This window comes from Homo sapiens, chromosome 16, assembly GCF_000001405.40.
Source record: "Homo sapiens chromosome 16, GRCh38.p14 Primary Assembly".
NCBI classification, from domain to species: domain Eukaryota; kingdom Metazoa; phylum Chordata; class Mammalia; order Primates; family Hominidae; genus Homo; species Homo sapiens.
In genome coordinates this window covers 19660765-19684929 of record NC_000016.10, presented here as the reverse complement: position 1 = coordinate 19684929, position 24165 = coordinate 19660765, and the positions used below count along the sequence as shown (strand labels likewise).

At 45.2% G+C, this 24165-nt stretch overlaps 1 protein-coding gene across 7 annotated transcripts in view, besides 1 other annotated feature; it reads right to left on the bottom strand.

The window, feature by feature from the left end:
* VPS35L (VPS35 endosomal protein sorting factor like) overlaps nucleotides 1–24165 on the bottom strand; it is a 145461-nt gene that overhangs the window by 16234 nt on the left and 105062 nt on the right. For all 7 annotated transcript variants that reach the window (NR_158161.2, NR_158160.2, NM_001365295.2 and 4 more), the window contains 2 exons: nucleotides 15631–15770; nucleotides 2540–2705 (listed from right to left, as the gene is read on the bottom strand). Coding sequence is in view for 5 of the 7 variants with exons in the window: in NM_001365295.2 (NP_001352224.1) it covers nucleotides 2540–2705; nucleotides 15631–15770 (306 nt within the window). In the remaining 2 variants the exon portion in view is untranslated. The remainder of the gene's footprint in view (nucleotides 1–2539; nucleotides 2706–15630; nucleotides 15771–24165) is intronic.
* Nucleotides 22012–22598: an enhancer, noted in NCBI's record as "NANOG hESC enhancer chr16:19673654-19674240 (GRCh37/hg19 assembly coordinates)". NCBI's record gives its function as "activates a minimal SCP1, AML or CMV promoter by ChIP-STARR-seq in primed H9 embryonic stem cells {active_cell/tissue: H9 hESC(primed)}" and the evidence as "EXISTENCE:reporter gene assay evidence [ECO:0000049][PMID:30033119]".

Genomic DNA, 24165 nt, shown 5'->3' with positions numbered 1-24165 from the left:
CTTGCCAACAGCCTGGCTAATTTTTTTGTATTTTTAGTATACATGAGGTTTCGCCATGTTGGTCAGGCTAGCCTCGAACTCCTGACCTCAGGTGATCCGCCTGCGTCTGCCCCCCAAAGTGCTGGGATTATAGGCACAAGCCACTGTGCCCAGCCAACACTGTTATTTTGTAATCAACAAAGCAGTGTAATGCACGTCCCACCACTCTGGGTGTGAGTTTCACTTCCATCACTAACTACCGGAAGCCCTGGAGTATATCACATTGTCTTTCTGGATCTCCTCTTGCTTACACATCAAATGGGGACATGAATGCCTGTCCTCATAGTAAAGCTGTAAGGATTAAGGGAAAAAGGCCTGTAGAGCCTGATGTAGTCCTTGGCACGCAGTAAGTGCTCAGATCAGGGTAGGCGCCATCATTCTTGCTATGAACCAGCCTCCCTGCATTACATCTTTATCCTCAGTCCCCAGACCCAGCTAGAGAAAGCCTGAGAGGTATGACAGAAGGCAGGCCATCCCTTAAGCACTGCTAATGTGTTCACTGCAACTTGCAAGTGTAGAGTTGGTTTTTTAACTGTAAAGTATACAATTACTGGCCAAAGCACTTTTGACATTAAGACCAATTTTTGGAATCCAAAAATTAGAACTGAGGGTCCGCCAGGCAGGAGGATACTTGGGCTCAGTGGGAAAAGGCCTGGAACTGGGATGTCCTGTGGTAAGTCCAGGACACGAGGAGGCTGCTCCCAACTTGTACTAGCAAGTTCAAAATGTCTGGTAGCAGGTGATCAAGGCCACCTCCTTCCTCCAGAGCACCCAGACAAGGGCTGCTGAGCCTTGGCATCATCTGAGGAGCAGTTGCAAACACCCACACCAGGGTCCTTCCTGAGACTGTGGTAAGGAACAGGCCTGGCACGAAGCTCATGCATGTGTATATTTAGCCATTGTTCCAGTTTATTGTGTAGCACACTGATCCAAAAGAGGGTTCCTCTGAAAAGAGAACACTTAACACTCTGTCAGTGGAAATGCAAATTAGTTCAGCCACTGTGGAAAGCAGTTTTGGAGATTTCTCAAAGAATTGAAAACAGAACTACCATTTGACCCAGCAATCCCATTACTGGGTATATACCCAAAGGAAAATAAATCGTTCTACTGAAAGGACACATGCACACGTATGTTCACTGCAGCACTATTCGCAATAGCAAAAACATAGCATCAACTTAGATGCTCATCAACAGTGGATTGGATAAAGAAAATGTGGTACATACACACAATGGAATACTATGCAGCCCTAAAAAAGAATGAAATCATGGCCTTTGTGGCAACATGGGTGCAACTGGAGGCCATTATCCTAAGTGAACTAGTGCAGAAACAGAAAACTAACTACCGCCATGTTCTCACTTGTAAGTGGGCCCCAAGCATTGGGTACCCATGGGCATAAAGATGGAAACAACAGACATTGGAGACCACTAGAGTGGGGAGGAAGGGGAGGGGACAAGGGCTGAAAAACTACCTATTGGGTACTATCTCATTTGCACCCCAAACCTCAGCATTGCACAATATACCCCTGTCACAAACCTGCACGTATACCTCCTAAATCTAAAATAGAAGTTGAAATTATTATAATTATTTTTTTAAACAGTGTTTCTCCAGACTGGTCTGATGTTCAACATGATCTCAGGTGCTTGTTAAAGATGCAAATTAAGAAGGGAAGGCCAGGTGTGGTGGCTCATGGTTATAATCCCAACACTTTGGGAGGCTGAGACGGGTAGATTACTTGAGCCCAGGCGTTTGAGACCAGCGTAACATGGTGAAACCCCGTCTTCAAAAAAAAATTTAAAAAATTATCCAGGAGCAGTGGCACATGCCTGTATTCCCAGCTACTTGGGAAGCTGAGGTGGGAGGACTGCTTCAGCCTGGGCTGTAAAGGCTGCAGTGGGCCGAGATCACATCACTGCACTCCAGCCTGGGGGACAGAGTGAGACCTTGTCTCAATCAATCAATCAATCAATCAATCAATCAATCAAGGGCAGGATGGGGCTGAAGAATCTGTACTCTTTTTTTTCCTTTTTGGGATGGTGTTTTCACTCTTGTTGCCCAGGCTGGAGTACAGTGGTGCCATCTTGGCTTACTGTAACCTCTGCCTCCCAGGTTCAAGCGATTCTCCTGCCTCAGTCTCCCGAGTAGTTGGGATTACAGGGGTGCACCATCAGGCCTGGCTAATTTTTGTTTTTTTAGTAGAGACAGGGTTTGGCTCTGTTGGCCAGGCTGGTCTGGAACTCTTGACCTCAGGTGATCCGCCTGCCTTGGCCTCCCAAAGTGCTGGGATTACAGGCGTGGGCCACTGCACCCGGCCCAAGAATCTGTACTCTTAAGAGTTGCTCCAGGTAAATCTTAGATCAGGTAAATACAGTGAGACCCTGGACTAGAAGTTCATGGAAGCTAAAATACAAGGGAGGAAAAAATAAAAGAGAAAATGAAAGCATTCTGTCTGCCTTTCATGAAATCCATGCGGAGCATGGTTTGGTGGGGGAGGCTCTGCTACCTTTGTCTATGTGGTAAAGGTACGTCTCCTGGCTCATGGCGGAGAGGAGATGCAGGACGCAGGTGTAGATGCGGATTTTCTCATCGCTGTTGTCCTCCCAGGTGTAGTCCTGGATCACGTTGAGAAGCTCTCGAACAAGAAACAGGACCCCATGTTCAGGATGATCCTAGCAGAGAACCGAAAAAAGGATAAATAATCCCAAAGATGAAGCAGGGAGGGAAAAAGAAAATCAACACAGAAGCCCAGATCCTCCCGCAGCAGCTGTAGAGAAATTAACGTTGTCAGTTACTGAACAAAGGCAAGACCCACTCACAAGCCTGGTTAAACAATACAGAGGAAAATGACAAAACGTGATTCCCACGAATCAACACGCTCCTGTCTGGGCAAACGAGCTTTGAGAATCCCTTTTTGGATCCCAAAAAGGAGAAGGCAAAGTTACCTGTCAGCTTAATGGCCTGTTTCCAAAATTACACTCTTATTTTTCTGTGGGTGGTGGGAGTTAAAAAAAAAGGAAGCCCTGTTCCAACCACAAAAGCAGGATCGCGGGTATCGTAGCAGATGGAACGGTAGAAGCCACCTACGCTGGGTGAGCCCCCGGATGATCCCTGCCACCACTCGAGGCAGTGACTTTAAATAGAGCCTCACTCTTTGGGATGCTCAACAACGGTAACAGCCAAATGGAGGACGCTCTCTTGGGAGAGGCAAAACCTGAGAGACAGTCACAGAGTTTATAGCAAACAGTGTTTCTCAGATGCTAAACTGAATCTATAAAAAGTTTTGGGGTGTAAAAAAGTAAGCAGCTTCAATTCCATTCCAAAAAGGTGTATGTGAGTCTGGGGATGCCCTGCTGAAAGCTCTCCAGACTTCTCACTCTGTGCAGAAGCTCTGCACGGCCAGCCCCTTCCATGGCCTTGCTAGCCCACCCCATGCGGGTCCCCTTCCCTTACCCCAGCCACATTAAGGTGGGGAGAACAGCACGATTGGAACCCGCAGCGGCAGGGGGAACAGCATGATTGGAACCTGCAGCGGCAAGAGGCCATCTAGCCCAAGATGTAGTCTTGCTTGCAGGAACAAAGCCATCGCCAAAACATGGCCCAGGAGGAATGGGGGAGAAATACCCCAGCCTCGCTTTCCTCCTGCCCTGCATATGCTGCTGCCTCCTACTGGCTGAACAAATTGGGAGCTAGAGGAAGGATAGGTGAGGCAGTCCCCAGAGGCCAGTCTCCCCCACACACAGTAGGACAAAGGGCACAGAGTGGCACCAGGGGCTGGCACACACGTCCAGGTGCTGGCCTCCAGCCAGGCACGTTCTCTCTGACTAGAGTCTGTGCCCCAGGGCTTGGCCAGACGGCTCCTTGGTAGCCTGCAGTTCTCATCTTACACATTAGCTCTTTAATGAGGCCTTCCCTGACATTCCATCTGCAGTCCTCTTACTCTCTCTTCATCACAAATCATCCTGTTTTTTTAGGGGGGGGGCGGGTTCTGAGACAGGGTCTCACTCTGTCACTCTGGCTACAGTACAGTGGCACAATCACAGCTCGCTGGAGCCTTGACTCTGAGCTCAAGCGATCTTCCACCTCAGCCTCCTGAGGTGCTGGGACTACAGGTACATACCACCACGCTTGGCGAATTTCTATTTTTTGTAGAGATGAGGTCTTGCCATGTTGCCCAGGCTGGTCTCAAGGTCCTGGGCTCAAGCGATCCACCTGCCTTGGCCTCCTGAACTGCTGGGATTAAAGGCATGAGCCACCGCGCCCAGCCTCTGTGTTGTTTTTTACAGAGCACTTCTCACTATCTGAAATGATCTTAGGTATTCCTTCAATGACCTGCCCAACAATATCTCGTGGTTTTCCTGGTTCTCTCTGTTTCATGCTAGCCTATAACCTCCAGGAGGACAGGCACTTCATCTATTGCATTTGCCAATACACCGCCAGGTCTGCTGGCTGCACACTGTATTCTGTTAATGGCGCCTCCAGGAACTCAATGTGGATGGTGTCCCTGATGACATTCAATCCCGCCCTGTCTCTGGCTCCTGGGACAGTGCTGGGCACTGACATGCATTGGGTGAATAATGTTGAATGGATTGTAGTTTTTGGGTACCTTCTATGTGTCAGGTACTGAAGTGGCTATGAAAACAACAACAGCTAATATTAATAGCAGCTACCATAGCTTTTCTATGTTCCAGGGTGATACTACGACGAAGCCCCATTTCGCAGATGGGAAATGAGCCACTGAGAGGGTAAGTGGCCCAAGGTCACACAGTTGGTACATGGGGGACCCAAGGTTCAAGCCCCAGGAGTTTGGCTCCAGAGTGGACATTTCTAACTACTGGTACCAGATTCGCACTGCCTCTCTGCAGATAAACCAAGCGTCTCTGACTTTATAGAACTTGTGAACAGGGGGAGGCATACATGCAGTCAGCTACTTAGAATACAAGTGTGGAGTATGAGCAGCATTGCCATTATATCCAACGTGAATGTGTGTACATATTGCAGTCATACTTTCAAGTGGGTGAGGACAATTGTGGAGGGGCGTGGGATGTTTTGTACAAGCTGTTAATATCTGTAAGAATTGCTCTTAGCCTGGGCTAGATAGCGGTGGCTCACGCCTGTAATCCCAGCACTTCAGAAGGCCGAGATGGGCGGATCCCTTGAGGTCAGGAGTTTGAGACCAGCCTGGCCAACATGGCGAAACCCCGTTTCTACTAAAAATGCAAAAATTAGCCGGGTGTGGTGGTGTGCGCCTGTAATCCCAGCTACTCAGGAGGCTGAGGCAGGAGAATTGCTTGAACCCAGGAGGTGGAGGATGAGCGAGCAGAGATCACACTACTGCACTGCAGCCCGGGTGACAGTGCGAGACTCTGTCTCCAAAAAAATAAATAAATAAATAAATAAATAAATAAATAAATAAATAAATAAATAATTGTTCTTAACCTGGGCAACATAACAAATATTGTTTCTACAAAAAAAAAAAAAAATTAGCCACGTGTGGTGGTGTGCACCTGTGGTCTCAGCTACAGAAAGCTATGATGGCACCACTGCACTCCAGCCTGGGTGACAGAGTGAGACCATCTTACAAAAAGAAAAAAAGAATTGCTCTTATGATACTGGCAAGAATGAGAATACAAGATGCTCAAAAGTCTGACATCCACAAACTACACACATCAAAATTGCCCATGCCATGATCTGCTTTCCACTCAGAGCTGGTTTCAGCTGGGAACCTCCCCGCCCCCCCGCCTCCCCACCCCCGCCCCCCCAGCCTTCTTTTGCTAACAGCTGTTTTTAACTAGGCTATTCGGTTCTGCTATGTGGCTGTCCAAAAATATATTTTATTTAAGGATCTGCCTTGGGAATAGACAACAATCTGAATGTTCCAGCAACTTCATTTCAACACAAATGCATAAGTCTTGTGACAGACCATGCAACACACTGTCAAAAAGGTGGTACAAGGGCCAGTGGAGACGTAAAGGTTTGTAGTGAGCCATTTCCGTGAGCTTTTGCTCACAACCGAAGAGCTGGGAGACTATTTCCAACCTTCTGTACATGGACAAAGTTTCCCATGTGACATCCATGCTTCAGTGGTTGTAACTTTTTTTTTTTTAATTGTACTGATGGGCTGGGTGTGGTGGCTCAAGCCTGTAATCTCAGCACCTTGGGAGGCCGAGGCAGGTGGACTGCTTGAGGTCAGGAGTTTGAAACCAGCCTGGCCAACATGGTGAAACCCCATCTATACTAAAAATACAAAAATTAGCTGGGCATGGTGGCACGTGCCTGTAGTCCCAGATACTTGGGAGGCTGAGGCAGGAGAACTGCTTGAACCTGGGAGGCAGAGGTTGCAGTGAGCCGAGATCGTGCCACTGCGCTCCAGCCTGGGCAACAGAGCGAGACTCCTCTCAAAAAAAAAAAAAAATGTACAGATGGTTCAGTGCCAACAGCTGAAGTAAGGCAGACAAAGATTTTTTTTTTTTCTTAAGACAAAGAAAACGGTTCTGGATTCAGATGGCGCTTCCAGTGGGAAAAGGTGTCCCCAGGTGTCCCTGGCAGGGCTACCTCCCAAGTAGAACAAACAAATGCTGACAAAGTGGCTCCCAGGTAGCACCTGGCAGGGGCTCAGACCTCTCTCCCTGCTGGCCCAACACCTACCACATCAGCAATATCCCTCTGGGTTTCTGGTCTGCAGGAATCCTTCTACTAAACCCCTTGGGAAAAAAGTATTAGGTTGGTGTAGAAGTAATTATTTTCAATGGCAAAACCCACAATTACTTTTGCACCAATCTAATAATACCCTAGAAGTAACTAACTCTTCCTAGGAGAACCAAGATGAAAGGCAGTGAGCATGGCGGCTGGGCAGACATCCTGGCCTTGGACCCTGGCTCGTCACTGACCAGCTGCTGACCCTTCATCTTTCTGCACCCCAGTTTCCACTTCTGTGAAACGAGGGTGATAATAACAGGCTTGTTTTGAGTGAGTATTTGTGAAATGTTGGCTGGTCCATGGTTATGAGGTTGGTTAAGTAATCATAAAGCCCTTTAGAAAAGGAACCAGAACACAGGTGAGCTCGTATGTTCTTCCAAAAGGAAGAACAGGGAAAGGAAAGAAAGGGCACTGGGGAAAACAGAGATAGTGGGAGGGCAGGGGAGGACGAAGGGAGACAGATCACCACTTGACGGGAAGCTGTCAGAGACCAGCTTGCTGTTTCTCTCAGTCCTGTCTGTCTCACCAGCAGCTCGGGCATCCCCTGTGCCCTCCTGATGTGCCAGTCACTCTGGCTCTCCTCCAGTCCCTCTGGAGCACAGTGCCGCTTCCCACCTCCAGGATTTCACCCACGCTGTGTCCTCGGCCCAGAATGCCCTCTCCTCTCCCCATCTGTGCCTAGCTGACTACTTACTAGTGTTCCTTCAGATCACAGCTCAAATGGCACTTTCTTCGGGAACTCTCCTGATTATCTGACCCCATCCCCCAAATCTGGAGCTCTGAGAGGTCTCTATGGTTCATTAAAAAACTTTTTCTTGCTGGACGCATGGCTCACGCCTGTAATTCCAGCACTCTGGGAGGCCGAGGCAGGTGGATCACGAGGTCAGGAGTTCAAGATCAGCCTGGCCAAGATGGTGAAACCCCATCTCTACTAAAAATACAAATAAATAAATAAATAAATAAAATTAGCCAGGCACGGTGGCAGGTGCCTATAATCCCAGCTGCTCGGGAGGCGGAGGCAAGAGAATCGCTTGAACCTAGCAGGCGGAGGTTACAGTGAACCGAGATCACACCGCTGCATTCTAGCCTGGGTGACAGAGCATGACTCCATCTCAAAAAAAAAAAAAAGAAAAAAAGAAAACTTTTTCTTTTGAGATGAGGTCTTGCTATGTTGCCCAGGCTGGTCTCGAACTCCTGGCCTCAAGCAATCCTTCCGCCTCAGCCTCCTGAGAAGCTGGAAGTGTTATTACTAATACCATCAGTTTTCCAGCACTAATCAGTAGTCATCAGCCTCTTGGTGGACCAGTGCCAACTGTAGTTGGCTTCTGTAGTTCTTTATGGCGCTTTGTGCAATTGTAGTTAAATGTGTACTTATTTGTTTAACATGAAGTCTGTCCTCCTGAGTTGGGGTATGCTTCTCTTGCTCACTCCTTAATTCCTGGATCGACAAATGTTTGTGGAATAGACGGAATGATGAAACATAGACCTGGACAACTTGCTGTGTTTATGGCTGGACCTTTTTCTCCAGGATAAGTAGGAGAAAAGACATCTCCCTGCTGGATCCGAGATCGTTAGTGCTACAAAACTGATGGTAGTAGCATTTCCATTTCTTGCAAATTGCAACTGTATCAAAACTAGGCCTCAAAACTGTGACACTGAACTTGTTCAGTCAAGTCTACTTTGTCTTACCACATTGTTACATGAAATGAGCCAGTTTGATTATATAGGGAAGATTATTCCACAAACTAGTCCCTGACTAGGCTGACGACTACTGATGCTAAAGCAGAACATTTCAACATGCTCCAAAAAGTTCTCTGTCTGCAGGGGAGAGAGGGCCACCCTGGGGACTGTTTACTCCCACATTTGTAAGAATCAATAAATTGGACCAGGGACTTGATCTGGTATCAAATGGTTTCTATCCTTTCTTTTTGTGTGTGTGTTTTTTGAGTCGGAGTTTTGCTCTTGTCACCCAGGCTGGAGTGCAATGGCATAATCTTGGCTCACTACAACCTCCATCTCCTGGGTTCAAATGATTCTCCTGCCTCAGCCTCCTGAGCAGCTGGGGTTATGGGCGCATGCCACCATGCACAGCTGACTTTTGTATTTTTAGTAGAAATGGGGTTTTGCTACATTTGCCAGGCTGGTCTCGAACTCCTGACTTCAGGTGATCCACCCACCATGGCCTCCTAAAGTGCTGGGATTACAGGTATGAGCAGCCGTGCCTGGTAGTTCCTATCTTTTCTAAACAAATAAAATGAATCAAACTTTCAAACCCATCCTTTAAGAAAATCTTTCATACTGTGGGTAGGAAAGCAAAACAGTGCAGTCCCCATGAAAAACAGTATGGGGACCGGGTGCAGTGGCTCATGCCTGTAATCTCAGCACTTTGGGAGGCGGAGGGGGGCTGAGCACCTGAGGTCAGGAGTTTGAGACCAGCCTGGCCAACATGGTGAAACATTGTCTCTACTAAAAAAACAAAAATTAGCTGGGCATGGTGGCACACGCCTGTAATTCCAGCTACTCGGGAGGCTGAGGCAGGAAAATCACTTGAACTGGAGAGGCAGAGGTTACAGTGAGCCGAGACTGCAATACTGCACTCCAGCCTGGGTGACCTGTCTCAAAAACAAAACAAAACAAAACAAAAACAGTATGGAGTTTCCTAAAAAAATTAAAAATAGAGCTACCACATGACCCAGCAATGCTACTTCTGGGTACATATCCAAACAAATTGAAATCAGGATCTTGAGGAGATACCTACACTCCCATGCTCATTGCAGCATTATTCACAAGAGCTCAGATGTGGAAACAATCTATATGTCCATTGACAGATAAATTGCTAACAAAAAATGAGGTAGCTGGGTGCAGTGGCTCACGCTGCAGTGAGCTATGATTGTACTACTGCACTCCAGAATGGGCAACAGAGCAAGACTCAAAAAAAAAAAAAAAAGACTGGGTGCAGTGACTCACACCTGTAACACCAGCACTTTGGGAAGTCAAGGCTGGAGGAGCACTTGAGCCTTGGCGTTCAAGACCAGCCTGGGAAAAATAGTGAGACCTTGTCGCCACAAAACTCAAAAATTAGATGGGCCTGGTGGCTTGCCCATGTGGTCCCAACTATTCAAAGAGGCTGAGTTGGGACAATATTTGAGCCCAGGAGGTCAAGGTTGATGCCGCTAGTGTGATTATGCCACTGCACTCCAGCCGGGATAACAGAGTGAGATCCTGTCTCAAAAAAAAAAAAAGAAAGAAAAGAAAAGAAAACATTATACACATGCACAATGGAATATTATTCAGCCTTAAAAAAGAAGGAAATTCTGCCATATGTAACAACATGGATGACCCTCGAAAGCATTAAACTATGTGAAATAAGCCAGTTGCAGGAAGACAAATATTGCATGAGTCCACATATAAAGAAAGTATCTAAAATAGATTCATAGAATCAGAGAGTAGAATGGTGGTTGCAGGGGGTGGGGGTAGGGGAATGAAGAATTACTAACCAATGGACAGTTTCAGTTATGAATAAGCTCTAGAGATCTGCTACACAGCACAGTTTCTATGTCAATAGTAATGTATTGTACACGTAAAAACCGGTTAAGAGGGTAGATCTCACCTTAAGTGTTCTCGCCCCAATACAATAAAACTAAAATAAAAGCTGTGACCTGAAAGGTAACAAATAATTTGAACTGAGTAGGCTGCACGCAGAGGCTCATGTCTGTAATCCCAGCACAAATCCCAGCACTTTGGGAGGCCAAGGCAGGCAGATCACTTGAGCTCAGGAGTTCGAGACCAGCCTGGCCAACATGATGAAATCCTGTCTCTACTAAAAGACAAAAAAAAAATTAGCCAGGTGTGGTGGTGGGCGCCTGTAGTCTCAGCTACTTGGGAGACTGAGGCACGAGAATTGCTTTAACCCAGGAGGCAGAGGTTGCAGTGAGCCGAGATCGCGCACTGCATTCCATCTAGCCTGGGTGACAGAGGAAGATTCTCCAAAAAAAAAAAAAAAAAAAAAAAAAGAAAAAGAAAAAAACTGAACCAGGTAGAAGTGAGATGTGGGAGTCTTGTTAATGCTAGATCTACTCATAATGGGCATGGCTCAGGTGTGGCGCATCCCATCACCTGAGAGTTTATTCAGCTCTTAGCCCTGGCTATTCAGGATAAACATCCTGTAGCATCTGTGAGTAGTTACTAATGCCGCGTCCCACAAGGAGGGATACAGGGTTGCTAGTGCTCAATGAACTTGAGCAAATAAGGCACACTGCAAACGTTTCCGGCTTCAGTCATGCAGGACAGGCTCTGGAATAGCGTAGCCCTCGGTTCAAATCCCAGCTCTGCTACTTATAAGCTTTGTGACCTCAGGCACATTGCAAGGGCCCTCTGGCTCAGGTTTCATGAGTGAAAAAGGTGCAATGATTCCTACCTTGGGGGGCTTGGGTGGAGGACTCCCAGGAAGTGAGTATTAATGAGTGGCGTTAGCAAGGCATGGGGCACCTAGTGAGGTGTTGTGAACTGCAGCTATTCTTTGTCTCATATCATTACTAAACCCCAGCTAAAACACATGCAATGCTACAAGGAAAAATAACTCAAATCTGTTCAAGGAATAATAACGCAAATCTGTTCAAGGAATAATAAATCTGTTCAAGGAATAAATAACTCAAATCTGTTCAAGGAATAATGAATCTGTTGAGAGCAGGAGCTCTTTCCACAAATGCCTAAGGGGCCAAGTGGACAACAGAAATGGGGTTAATGGGTCCAGAGGTACCCAGGAAAACTGGAGAGAAAGGCATACGCTGCCTGCACAGGGCAGCTGGTACCCAGCTGCAGCCAACTGGCCAGGTCGCAGGATGCGGGCCCCACGTGATAGGACCTGATTTTTCAAGGGGAGATGCAAATCTGGGATTTTCTGTGATCTACCAATTTTTAAATGTAGGAAACTCATTCCAAATGTTCTCCATCAGGACATAGCCAGCAAGTGTCTACATGTCTACCGGCTGGATCTGCCCTCCAGACATCAATCTGTAATCCCAGGGACAGAGTTTCAGGTTTACAAAGCACTTTCCCAGCTATCATTTCATTTAACCCTCACAGGAGTCATTTGAGGTGGGCACTGTGATGACACCTCAGAAAGGTGACAACTGAAGCTCTGAGGAGTTATAAAACTTTCCCAAAGTCTCAGCGCTATGAACTCTTCAGGTCAGGACTGAACAGAAGCTTCTGAATCTGAGAAGGCTTTTCAAAAAGGCTCCAGTGATTTTTAACCTGCAGATGCTGAATGCATCCCGATTAATCAATAAACAATGACTTTTACCAACTGCTTAATTCAAAACCCTGATTTTTTTCTTTTGCCTTCTCACTTTTACCAACTGCTTAATTCAAAACCCTGATTTTTTTTCTTTTGCCTTCTCACTTGATAAATAACTAGCTTACCCAAAGAGAGAAACTTACAGAGTACTAATATGGAGATCTGAAAACAGTGACATCAAGTGTCAAGTGAAGGGGCTCTAGAAAATGCCAGTGCACGCTGCCCCATCTTGGGGTGCCGCCTATCCTCCCTGCAGGACAACAAGAGGCCCCCATCCTGAAGCCATGTCTGCAGTCCTTGAGCCTGGCCTCCTGACCTCGCTCCCCTCTGTCTGAAGACTTGGAATCTGAACAGGGAGAGTCAGAAGCTGAGTCACTTTCTGTTTTCTCAGCTTTACTGAGATATAATTCACATGCCAAACAGTATACCTGCTAAAATGTACAATTCAGTGATTGTCAGGATATTCACAGAGTTGTGCGATCATCAATACAGTCAATTTTGGAACATATCATCACCCCAAAAAGGAACCTGGATCCACTGGAGCTCAGGCACTTTTATGGCTCAAGTTCAGGGTGATGTTTCTCAAATATGGTCCTAGGACCACTTACCCCTGAATCACTGAAGGGGGCTTTTAAAAATGCCCATTTGCCAAACATGGTTGATCCCACCTGTAATCCCAGGTACTGGGGAGGGTGAGGGAGGAGGATTGCTTGAGGCCAGGAGTTCAAGACCAGCCTGGGAAATGTAGTGAGAATGTACCTCTATAAAACATTAAAAAAAAATTAGCCAGGCGTGGTGGCTGGCACATGCCTGTTGGCCCAGCTACTTGGGAGGCTGAGGCAGGAGGATCACTTTAGCCCAGGAGCTCAGCCTAGGCATACAGCAAGACCCCTTCTCAAAATAAAACAATTAGATGATTTTAAAAATGCTGATTTGTGAGCCTATTTCAACCTACTGAGTGAGACTCTGGGAGGGGCCCCAGGAATCTGCATTTTAACAAGAGTCTGAGATTCCCATGCACATTAAGCTCTACCAGCGGTGCTTAATCTGTTCTGTGCCATGCACCCTGCGGCAGCCAGGTGAAGCCTATACACTCCATGGAATACTATTTTTATTTTTTTTGAGATGGAGTCTTGCTCTGTTGCCCAGGCTGGAGTACAGTGGCACAATCTTGGCTCACTACAACCGCTACCTCCCAGGTTCAAGCGATTCTCCTGCCGCAGCCTCCCTGGTAGCTGAGATTACAGGTGCCTGCCACCACTCCTGGCTAATTTTTGTATTTTTAGTAGAGACGGGGTTTTACCATGTTGGCCAGGCTGGTCTCGAACACCTGACCTCAGGTGACCCACCTGCTTCAGCCTCCCAAAGTGTTGGGATTACTGGAGTGAGCCATCATGCCTGGCCCTTGGAATACATTTTTTTTTTTTTTTGAGATGGAGTCTTGCTCTGTTGTCCAGGCTGGAGTGCGGTGGTGCAATCTCGGCTCACTGCAACCTCCGCCTCCTGGGTTCAAGCGATTCTCCTGCCTCAGCCTCCCAAGTAGCTGGGATTGCAGGTGCCCACCACCATGCCCAGCTAATTTTTGTACTTTTAGTAGATACGGGGTTGTGCCATGTTGGCCAGGCTGGTCTCAAACTCCTGACCTCAGGTGATCTGTCCACCTCCGCCTCCCAAAGTGCTGGGATACAGGCATGAGCCACGGTGCCCAGTCCTTGGAATATTATTTTTAATGCAGCAAATAAAACACATAAGACTAAAAAGCAAACCAATTACACTAAAATACAGCTGGCAAAATATTTTTTCAATGCTTCTGTGATACTGTAATCTGTTGCTTCTTTGTGAATGCATTAACAGCTCTAGCAATGGGCTTAATAACTGCTGTGCTTTGAAAGGAAGAAGAACATACACAATCTTCTGAAATATCTTTCACATCTGAAATGTGATGTGAACATATCTGTTGATTTCTTTTGGTGACAAAGTCCCAGCTACTGCTACTACTACTGTGGCTTTTTGCCTGTAATTCATCGAGTGAAAGGTAAATTTCACTCAGAGGTTTGTTAAAATAAAGCTGTCATTTTCCTCATCCAAATTCATGTCACTCTGCCAGACCCCCAGGGAGTAGATGGACTCCAAGTTATAAGGACCCTTGCTAGGGAGGGTCCAGGAATTCCTCCTGCTGGGTCCCGGGAGTGGCCTCATTCTTTCCAACTCAAGCCTGGCTGTACATCTCTTCCATCCCAGGAAAAACCCAGCATCCTTCCAACAATGCCCCTCTTAATTTCTGCTATGTTTAGTTTCTGTTATTTGCCATCAAAAGAACTTTGTCGCCACCTTCTTAGTGCTTTCTAGAAAGTTTACTATGTGCAGAGGCATGGTTCTGACATTGTGAGTACTCACTAACTTAATATTCATGGCAACCCAGAAGTGACAGTTCTTATCCTCATTTTATAGACAAGGAAACTGCAGCCCAGGGATGTTATATTATTGCCCAAGAACGCAGAGCTGGAAGAAGGATGGGCCAGGATTCCATGCTGGACATCTTGGTTCCGAGGCCTGTGCCCTTCCCCACTGGGCGACACCTCTGCCTTGGCAGTATAGAGAGTGCAGTGGACTAAATATTTGTATCCCCCTGCAAATTCATACACGGAGACCCTAATCCCAATGTGATGGGATTTGGAGGTGGGGCCCTTGGGTAGTAATTAGGTCCCAGAGGACCAATTGCTCAAAAGGCCGGAGAGCTTGCCCTTGCTTTTTCTTTCTGTCACATGAGGACATAACGGGAAGATGGGCCTGCAGTCCCAGCTGCTCAGGAGGCTGAGGCGGGAGAATCACTTGAGCCTAGGAGTTCAAGGCTACAGTGAGCTATAACTGCACCACTGCACTCCAGCCTGGGTGACAGAGCAAGACTCCTAAACAAACACACAAAAAGGCCTGGCATGGTGGCTCACACCTGTAATCCCAGCACTCTGGGAGGCCAAGGCAGGTGGATCACCTGAGGTCAGGAGTTCAAGACCAGCCTGAACAACATGGTGAAACTCCATCTCTACTAAAAATACAAAAATTAGCCAGGTGTGGTGGCGGGCGCCTGTAATCCTAGCTACTCAGGAGGCTGAGGCAGGAGAATCACTTGAACCTGGGGGGTGGAGGTTGAAGTGAGCTAAGATCATGCCATTGCACTACAGCCTGGGCAACAGTAGTGAAACTCCATCTCAAAAAAAAAAAAAAGAGAGACAGAAAGAGAGAGAAGATGGTTGTCTGCAACCTGGAAGTGGGTCCTCACTAGAACTCAACCAGACTGGCACCCTGATCTCAGACTTCCAGCTTTAAGAACTCTGAGAAATAAATGTTGTTTAAGACCCCAGTCTATGGCACTTTGTAATAGCAGCCTGAGCTGACATAGTACCTCACCTCTACTATTATAGTATGATCCCCACCCAGCAAGAATAGAAAATTCATTAAGCAATTCAAATACCTAACTGGAAAACCAACACAAAGATACTAGATAGAATGTTCCTGCAGTTTTAGGCCTAAGAACACATATAATATTATAAGGCAGGTGAAAGGAAGACATGTCCTGCGGTTCTGCTGAGGAAACGTACCGGAACTATTAATAAAGTAGAAAAGAAATTGCAGAGGAATTCCAGAAGGAACGATTCCGATGGCCGCATCTTCCCATCAATATTAATCATCTTTGGAACTTCCGGAACAAGGCTTATAGCGGCTTTGAAAAAAGCATCAGCTGCAAGACAGAAGATAAAAGTCAGTATATTAGAACTCTGGGAAATTTAGTTGGCTTTCTTCTTCACGTGGCCTGAAGGCCAGTCCTGAGAGTTAGGTAGAAGCCAGGCCATGCCGAGGGCAGGTCCTAGCAGAAGGTTTCTGCAAACCATGATGGAGCTGGAGGAATATTTGCTTGACAGGGCACTGCTTCAGCTCAGAGAACCTCTGTTAAATTGTCTTTAGATTATTAAGTGAAAAAAGCAGGTCGCAAATTTTTGTAAAAAGTCTAGAAATGACAGTTGCCTGGGCTAAAGCTCAACTTGGATTGGTTCATTGAATTCTCATGTCTACCAGTGCGAGGAAGGTGCTGTCAACACGTGTACTTCACAGACGAGAAATAAGGGAAGGAAAGAGAAGCAATTCATCCTGCAACAGTGTCCTGTGTATGAAGTTCCAGTGTTGGTAGTAGAGCTGCAGCTCAAACCCAGGTCAGTTTGAATCTATTCTAGTGCACACCATTTTTGTTAAATAGCCATCAAAATGTCTGAAGGAACACAGCACACACACACACACACACACACACACACTCAGCTTAAAGGCTTCTGATTAACATCAGCTCCATAGAATCGTTTGGGAAATGAAGATATTTAAAGAGCTATGAAAAAATCTGTAAAACAAGAAGACTTCAAAGGGAGTAAGAGAGGAAGAAAAGGAGTGGAGAGAGAATGTGTGTGCACAACAGGAGACGGGGTGGAAGGGATGAGGGAGAGCAGGAAGGATGGGAGGTGGAGGGGAAGACGGAGAGGGAGTGAAAGTTCTTTCTAAAACTGCCAAGGTATTGACCGTGAGAAAAAGCCTCAAGGTCAAAACAATCAAAACACTGACCTGACAAATGAAATTTTAAACTACCCGACAAGATCAAATGTTTTCATGGTCCAAATGGACTTCCACTCCAAAACGACTTCCAGTGATGCAAAGAGAACACTGTAGGGGTGAACAGCATCCTGAATTAAAACAGGAACACCGGCCAGCACACCAGAGGGGCAAATGCAACAGCAAATGCTCACTTTCCTGGGAAGAAAGGCCTATGTTTAATGAGAAGAGTATGTGTCTGAAGATGGATGGTGGAGTTTTGCCATCTCTTCCTTCTTCAAAGGAGAGGGAAAAAAAACATGTCACAGAAAGACACTCCTTGTAAAGCTTTCTGAGTCAAGTTAGCTCTGCTCTGGAAGCTTCTTTGCCTGGCTGTCTCCTGAACCCCAAACTCAAACCCCTTCCACATTTATTAAGCCCCAACTGTGAACAGGGTACTGTCATGGGCAGGTAGACAAACAGATGAAAAAAAAGTGAGAGAAAGCGTTGACAACATAAACTGTGGCAATGAGACCAACATAATCATACTAATTAACAACTATTTTTTTTTCTGGTTTTTTTTTTTTTTTTTCCAGACAGGGTCTTGCTCTGTCGCACAGGCTGAAGTGCAACGGTGTGATCTCGACTCACTGCAGCCTCTGCCTCCTGGGCTCCAGCCATCCTCCTACCTCAGCCTCCCCAGTAACTGGGACTACAGGAGTGCACCATCATCCCTGGCTAATTTTTGTATTTTTTGTAGAGATGGGGTTTCACCGTGTTGCCCAAGCTGGTCCCAAACTCCTGAGCTCAAGCGATCTGCCTGACTCGGCCTCCTAAAGTTCTGGGATTACAGGCGTGAGCCACCGCATTGGGCCAACACTTATTTTCTAAGCCTGTTACGTATTTTGGTCTATGAATCCACTTATCTCAATTGTTTTGGGGAGAGACATTAAATATGGGGCTTGAGGAAAAGCCACCTGATGTCCGTTCTGATAGAGAAACCTTCCAGAAAGGGTCAGAGCCTGCAGGGTCTTCTATCTTGTGACCACTAGTAAGACATGGCCCAACCAGGTACGGTAGCTCACGCCTGTAATCTCAGCACTTTGGGAGGCCAGTGGGTCGATCACTTGAGGTCAGGAGTTTGAGACCAGCCTGGCCAATATGGTGAAACCCTGTCTGTACTAAAAATACAAAAATTAGCTGGGCATGGTGGCACATGCCTGTAATTCCAGCTACTCGGGAGGCTGAGGCAGGAGAATCACTTGAACCCGTCGGTCAGAGGTTGCAGTGAGCCGAGCCTGGGCAACAGAGCAATGCTCTGTCTCAAAAAAAAAGAAAGAAAGAAAGAAAGGAAGAAAGGAAGAAAGGAAGAAAGGAAGAAAGGAAGAAAGGAAGAAAGAAAGAAAGAAAGAAAGAAAGAAAGAAAGAAAGAAAGAAAGAAAGAAAGAAAGAAAAACATGGCCCTACTTATGGAACCCACAGGATCTCCTAGGCCCTATCTTTAAGCAGTTCATTTCCTTAGTCCTCCGGCAGTCCCACAGTGAAGTAAGTATATCATGAAACAAGGTTCTCAGTGGGAATGCAAATTCTGCTCAGAGCAACTTGAAAGACCATTTTTTTCTATTTATGTGTTTGTTACTGACTGGCCCAGAGAATGTGCCTATTATTATGCCTCATTAAAAAGAGAGCAGCTTTGTCCCCAGAACTTGGCTCCTCTCACCCACCCCGCCCAGTTTCCACTCTAAAGGACGGAGCTAAAATAAACAGTTATTTAAAGGTTGGGGCATGCAGGGTTCCAAAGCAGATTTTTAGTTCTATCCTCAGAAGACTTGCCCCATATAGAAAATATTGTCTGGAGACTTCTCAATCTTATCTTAAGTAATTAGAAATCAAATCCTACCCCATGTGACAGCAGTTTATCCTTATAGTTTAAAGTTCAGAATAATCATGTCAACTTCATGTAACACTTTGTTTTGTAGCTATTAAGAGCTATGGAAGCTCATTTAAGATATAACGGATTTTTTTTTAAAGACCTACAGAAAAAGGAGAACTCAGATTCCCAGTAGTAAAGAATATTGTCCCCTCTTTGAGTAATACCCCACAAGCACAGGCAACCAAAGCAAAAATGGACAAATGGGATCACATCAACTTAAAAAGCTCCGCACAGCAAAGGAAACAATCAACAAAGTGAAACGAGAACCCACAGAATGGGAGAAAATATTTGCAAACTACCCATCTGATAAAGGATTAATAACCAGAACATAAGGAGCTCAAACAACTCTATAGGAAAAAAAATCTAATAATCAGATTTTAAAAATGGGCAAAAGATTTCAATAGATGTTTCTCAAAAAAAAAAATACAAATGGCAAACAAGCATATGAAAAGGTGCTCAACATCATTGATCAGAGAAATGCAAATGAAAACTATAATGAGATATCATCGAACCCCAGTTAAAATGGCTTTTATCCAAAAGACAGGCAACGACAAATGCTGGTGAGAATGTGGAGAAAAGGGGAACCCTCACACACTGCTGGTGCAAATGTTAAATTAGTACAACTACTACGGAGAACAATTCGGAGGTTTCTGAAAAAGCTAAAAATAGAGCTACCATAGGATCCAGCAATCCCACCACTGGATTTACCCCCAAAAGAAAGGAAATCAGTATATCGAAGAGATATCTGCACTCCTGTTTGTTTTAGCACTGTTCACAATAGCCAAGATTTGGAAGCAATCTAAGTGTCCGTCAACAGACAAACGGATAAAGAAAATGTGGTACATATACACAATGGAGTACTATGCAGCCATAAAAAAGGAGATTCTGTCATTTGCAACAACATGGGTGAAACTGGAGGGCATTATGTTAAGTGAATTAAGCCAGGCACAGGAAGGCAAACTTTGCATGTTCTCACTTATTTGTGGGAGCTAAAAACAAAAACAATTGAACCCATGGAGACAGAGAGTAGAAGGATAGTTACCAGAGGCTGGGAAGGGTAATGGTGGGGCATGGTGGGGAGTGGGAATGGTTACTGCGTACAAAATAAAAATAGAAAGAATGAATAAGACCTAGTATTTGATAGCACAACACAGTGACTCTAGTCAATAATTTAATTGTACATTTAAAAATAACTGAAAGAATATAACTGAATTGTTTGTAGCACACAGGATAAATGCTTGAGGGGATGGATACACCATTCTCTAGGATGTAATTATTATACACTGCCTGCCTGAATCAAAACATCTCATGTACCTTGTAAATATATACACTTACTAAGTACCCACAAAAATTTTTTTAGAAAAGGAAAAAATATATATTGTCCTGGTTCCACTAGAGGAAGGGGAAAAGCAGCAAGTACACGGACTAGGCTTCCTTCATCCAAGTCCTCTGGGGTTCATGGGACATTCATGTTTTTTTGTTTTTTTTTTTTTTTAGATGAACTCTTGCTCTGTTGCCCAGGCTGGAATGCGGTGATGTGATCTCAGCTCACTGCAGCCTCCGCCTCCCGGGTTCAAGCGATTCTCCTGCCTCAGCCTCCCGAGTAGCTAAGACTACAGGCACATGCCACCGTGCCAGGCTAATTTTTGTATTTTTAGTAGAGATGGGGTTTCACCATGTTGGGCAAGCTGGTCTTAACTCCTGGCCTCAGGTGATCCGGTTGCCTTGGCTTCCCAAAGTGCTGGGATTACAGGCGTGAGCCACCGTTCCCTGCTGGGACATCCATGTTTCTTTTCCATATACCTTTTTTTTTTTTCTGCTTATATTTCCAGTATCTCAGAACAATCACTGCATATCCCATCTTAAAGGCAAAACCCAAACCAGAAAAACCCCACTCAGGTCTTGCTGACCCAACACTACAGTCACTGTATTTGAGACCCCTTTTTCTTGAAAAAGGGACTTCACTTTTTTGAGCAGCATTCTATGGTTCTTTCCACACAGCAATTGACGCATCTCACGGCACTGCTCTCTGCTGGGCAGAGAGCAAACACAGACAGCCACCATCCCCATATTCGTAGTAAGAGAAACTCCAGAAACGCAGCCACCGTCCCCGTATTCATAGTAAGAAAAATTGCATAAACATAGCCACTGCCCCCATATTTGTAAGAGCACTGTAGTACTCTTGGACTGCTCTATTGTAAGAATTGTTGGGGTCCTTGCTAAAAATATGGGGACAGACTACCTCATTATTTTGTATATATGACGAGTAAATGCCAGGGATGCTCACTGGCAAAATATCACATTTGACATTTTCCATCTGAAGTTTCAGGCTCTCCTGTTCTCAACCTGAGTAGTTTCAAAAGGTCTGTGGACCACTGAAAGAACACGGTATTCGGGAAACTTCCGCAAGGACAGGAAGAAATCAAACACTCAGAACACAAAGCCATTAAAACCCCACAGATGGACTCCAAAATATATGTCACAAGCAAATAGCTGCGGGAAAGGGTGAGATGCAGACAGAAGCTGAAAATAAGGGCTTAGCTGAAGATGCTAGGTAAACTGTATGTTTTGATTATTCATGCTGCCTAGCTACTATAAATGATTGGGTCAATCATTCCTGTTGGATGAAGATATCTTTATATCAACTCTAAGATCATTTGAAGAAAAAGTGAAAACAGCTTAAAGTTCCAAAATGTAAAAAAAAAAAAAAAAAAAAAAAAAAAAGAAATTACTGCACTGTTGCACCAAGCAAGTAATATAGCTAATAAAGAGCATAAGGCAGATCTATATGTTTTGAGGTATATTTGAGGTATAAAGACATCTATGACATATTACATACAAAAAATCGGGGGGGAGGGTGGCGGGGGAAAAAAAGAAAAAAAAAGGACAAAAAGTCACACAGCTGTATACGTGTGAGCCTATCTTTGCAAAGGAAAAAAAGTATATAAACTTATGTAGATGCATAGAAAGGTCAGGCAAGATAAATGCCAAACTATTAGGTGTAATATTGGAGTGGTGGATGAGGATGGACACCAATTTTTTCACTTACTGATAGGCTACTGTCTTGGAATTTTAATTGAAATTTATTATTATTGAGACTTTGCTCTTGTTGCCCAGTGCAATGGCATGATCTTGGCTCAACACAACCTCCACCTCCTGGGTTCAAGTGATTCTCCTGCCTCAGCCTCCAGAGTAGCTGGGATTATAGGCATGAGCCACCATGCCCAGCTAATTTTTTGTATATTTAGTAGAGACGGGGCTTCTCCATGTTGGTCAGGCTGATCTCGAACTCCTGAACTCAGGTGATCTGCCCGCCTCTGCCTCCCAAAGTGCTGGGATTATAGCCATGAGCCACTGTGCCCGGCCTATTATTATTATCATTATAATTATTATTATTTTTTTTTTGAGGCAGAGTCTTGCTCTGTCACCCAGGTTGAAGTGCAGTGGTACAATTTCAGCTCACTGCAACCTCTGCCTCCTGGGTTCAAGCAATTCACCTGCCTCACCCTCTCAAGTAGCTGGGATTATAGGCGTCTGCTACCATGCCCCTGTAGGAGCTCGGTTAGGGTGATGTCAGAAATTGTAAGAGAAAATTATAGGAAAAACGCAAGCTTTCTTGGAAGGCCGGAAGGTTTTACAAAAGCTTTAGGAAAGGGTTATGGCTGAAGGCAGCCTAATCCTCTTTACCTTGAGTTGATAGCAAAAGAGCAAATAGTAAGTGAATGTGGGGGGTTTTATCTAAATAGCTTGTTTACTCATGTGGTCCTAAGACCGACCTTTGATCATCTGTGGGTGTATGACTGCTCTCTACTCAGGAGGTCGGCAATGTTAATTACCTTCTAGTGGTGTTTACTCGAGACCTTTGTCATTTAATCTGTACTAAATAAATGCGAACTTTGCCGGCTTATGGAGGCCAATGCTGTAGTCAGGCAGCAGAGCCTCTTAGCCATGCTGACAGGCAAAATATCCGTGTCAGTCTTTTATCCGTCACTGGGTCAGGGTCTGCAGGTCAGATCTGGCATACCTGGCTAATTTTTGTATTTTTTTTTTTAGTAGAGATGGCATTTCACCATGTTGGCCAGGCAGGTCTCGAACCCCTGACCTCAGGTGATCTGCCTGCCTCTGCCTCCCAAAGTGCTAGGATTACAGGCATGAGCCACCGTGCCTGGCCTATTTTTATTATTATTTTTTGAGACAGGGCCTTGCTCTGCTGCCCAGGCTGGATTGCAGTGGTACCGTCATAGCTCACTCCTGCCTCGACCTCCTGGGCTCGAGCAACCCTCCCACTTCAGCCTGCCAAGTGGCTGGGACTACAGGCGTGCGCCATCATGCCTGCTGATTTTTTAAGTTTTTTTTAATTCATATTTTGTACAGACTGGGTCTCACTATGTTGCCCAGGCTTAAATTTCTAAAAATAATTTTTCTTGAACATACAAAGGCAATACAAGTTTGCTGTAAAATGTTCAGTCCTAGAAATGTATAAAACAGAAATATGGCAAAACAATGTACTCCCTATTTAACCAGAGTAGGACAAGGTGGAGATGGAAGTAGGGACAGGGCCACACACTGCATGGACTCTTAATACTCCTGCTGTTCTAAGGGGCAGCCACCCCAGTTCCCTGTATGTGTAAGGCACAGCACCAAGCTGAGGGGTGATACACACACTGTGGGGACCAACCAGGGATGCTGTTCTGCACTGCACCGTGAGGATGGCGGGAAGGGTCCTCTCTAATTAGCTTCTCCATGAAATGAGTCAGACTTCAGGCTTGAAGCTCCCCAGTCAGTCCACTTGCAAGGGTTCTTCTTCTCAAGGCTTTAAAAAGCTCCATATCGTGCTCTGGGGCCTCTTCGAGCTCCTGTAGATAATTCAGGGGCAGTAACCTCCCACTGGGATGTCCACCTGAGGAGCCCCACTGGCATCTGTTGTGTGTACCAAGGCTTTCAATACGCCTCTGTCTGAACAATAGAGTTCCACATTCTAAGAGGCTAAAATACCAATTGGGCAACTGTCAGAAAGCTTCAAAGTGCTCAGAATTAAGATGCAGGTTATTTATTGTCTGCCAGAGCAAAAACTTGCAAAGAGTTCATATATTTTTCAACAGGAGTTCGGAGGAAAAAAAATAGAGGGGGGCCATTTGAAGAAATAATTTGTAGCACTTCCAAAAAAAAAGAAGAAACAGAATACCAAACAGCCATTACAAAGAGGGTACTGATTGACACCAAGATTTACAGAGAAGCCAAAAAAGGCTTATGAAAAACACTGTAGAAGACATAATTCCATTTATTGCTAAGGGGGAAAGAGAACTACATATATATATATATATATAAGAATATAGATAAATGGAGAGTGAAGGAGAAAGGAGAATAGAGAGGCAGAGAGCATACAAGAATAATGAATATTTTAAAATGGATATATAAAAGAAAAAAATCAAGATGTCCATACTGTTAACAACAGCAGATTTGGGGGTGGGGTGGGGAGATACAGCATATTATTGGAGACTTTTATCTCAGGGCTTTTTACTTTTTAAGAGTCCTACATTTCTGTATGGTTGGAAGTTTTTCAAATGAGCATTCTGAATTTTTATAGTGAAAGTCATTAAGATTTAAAATACAGATTGCCTAGATTTTC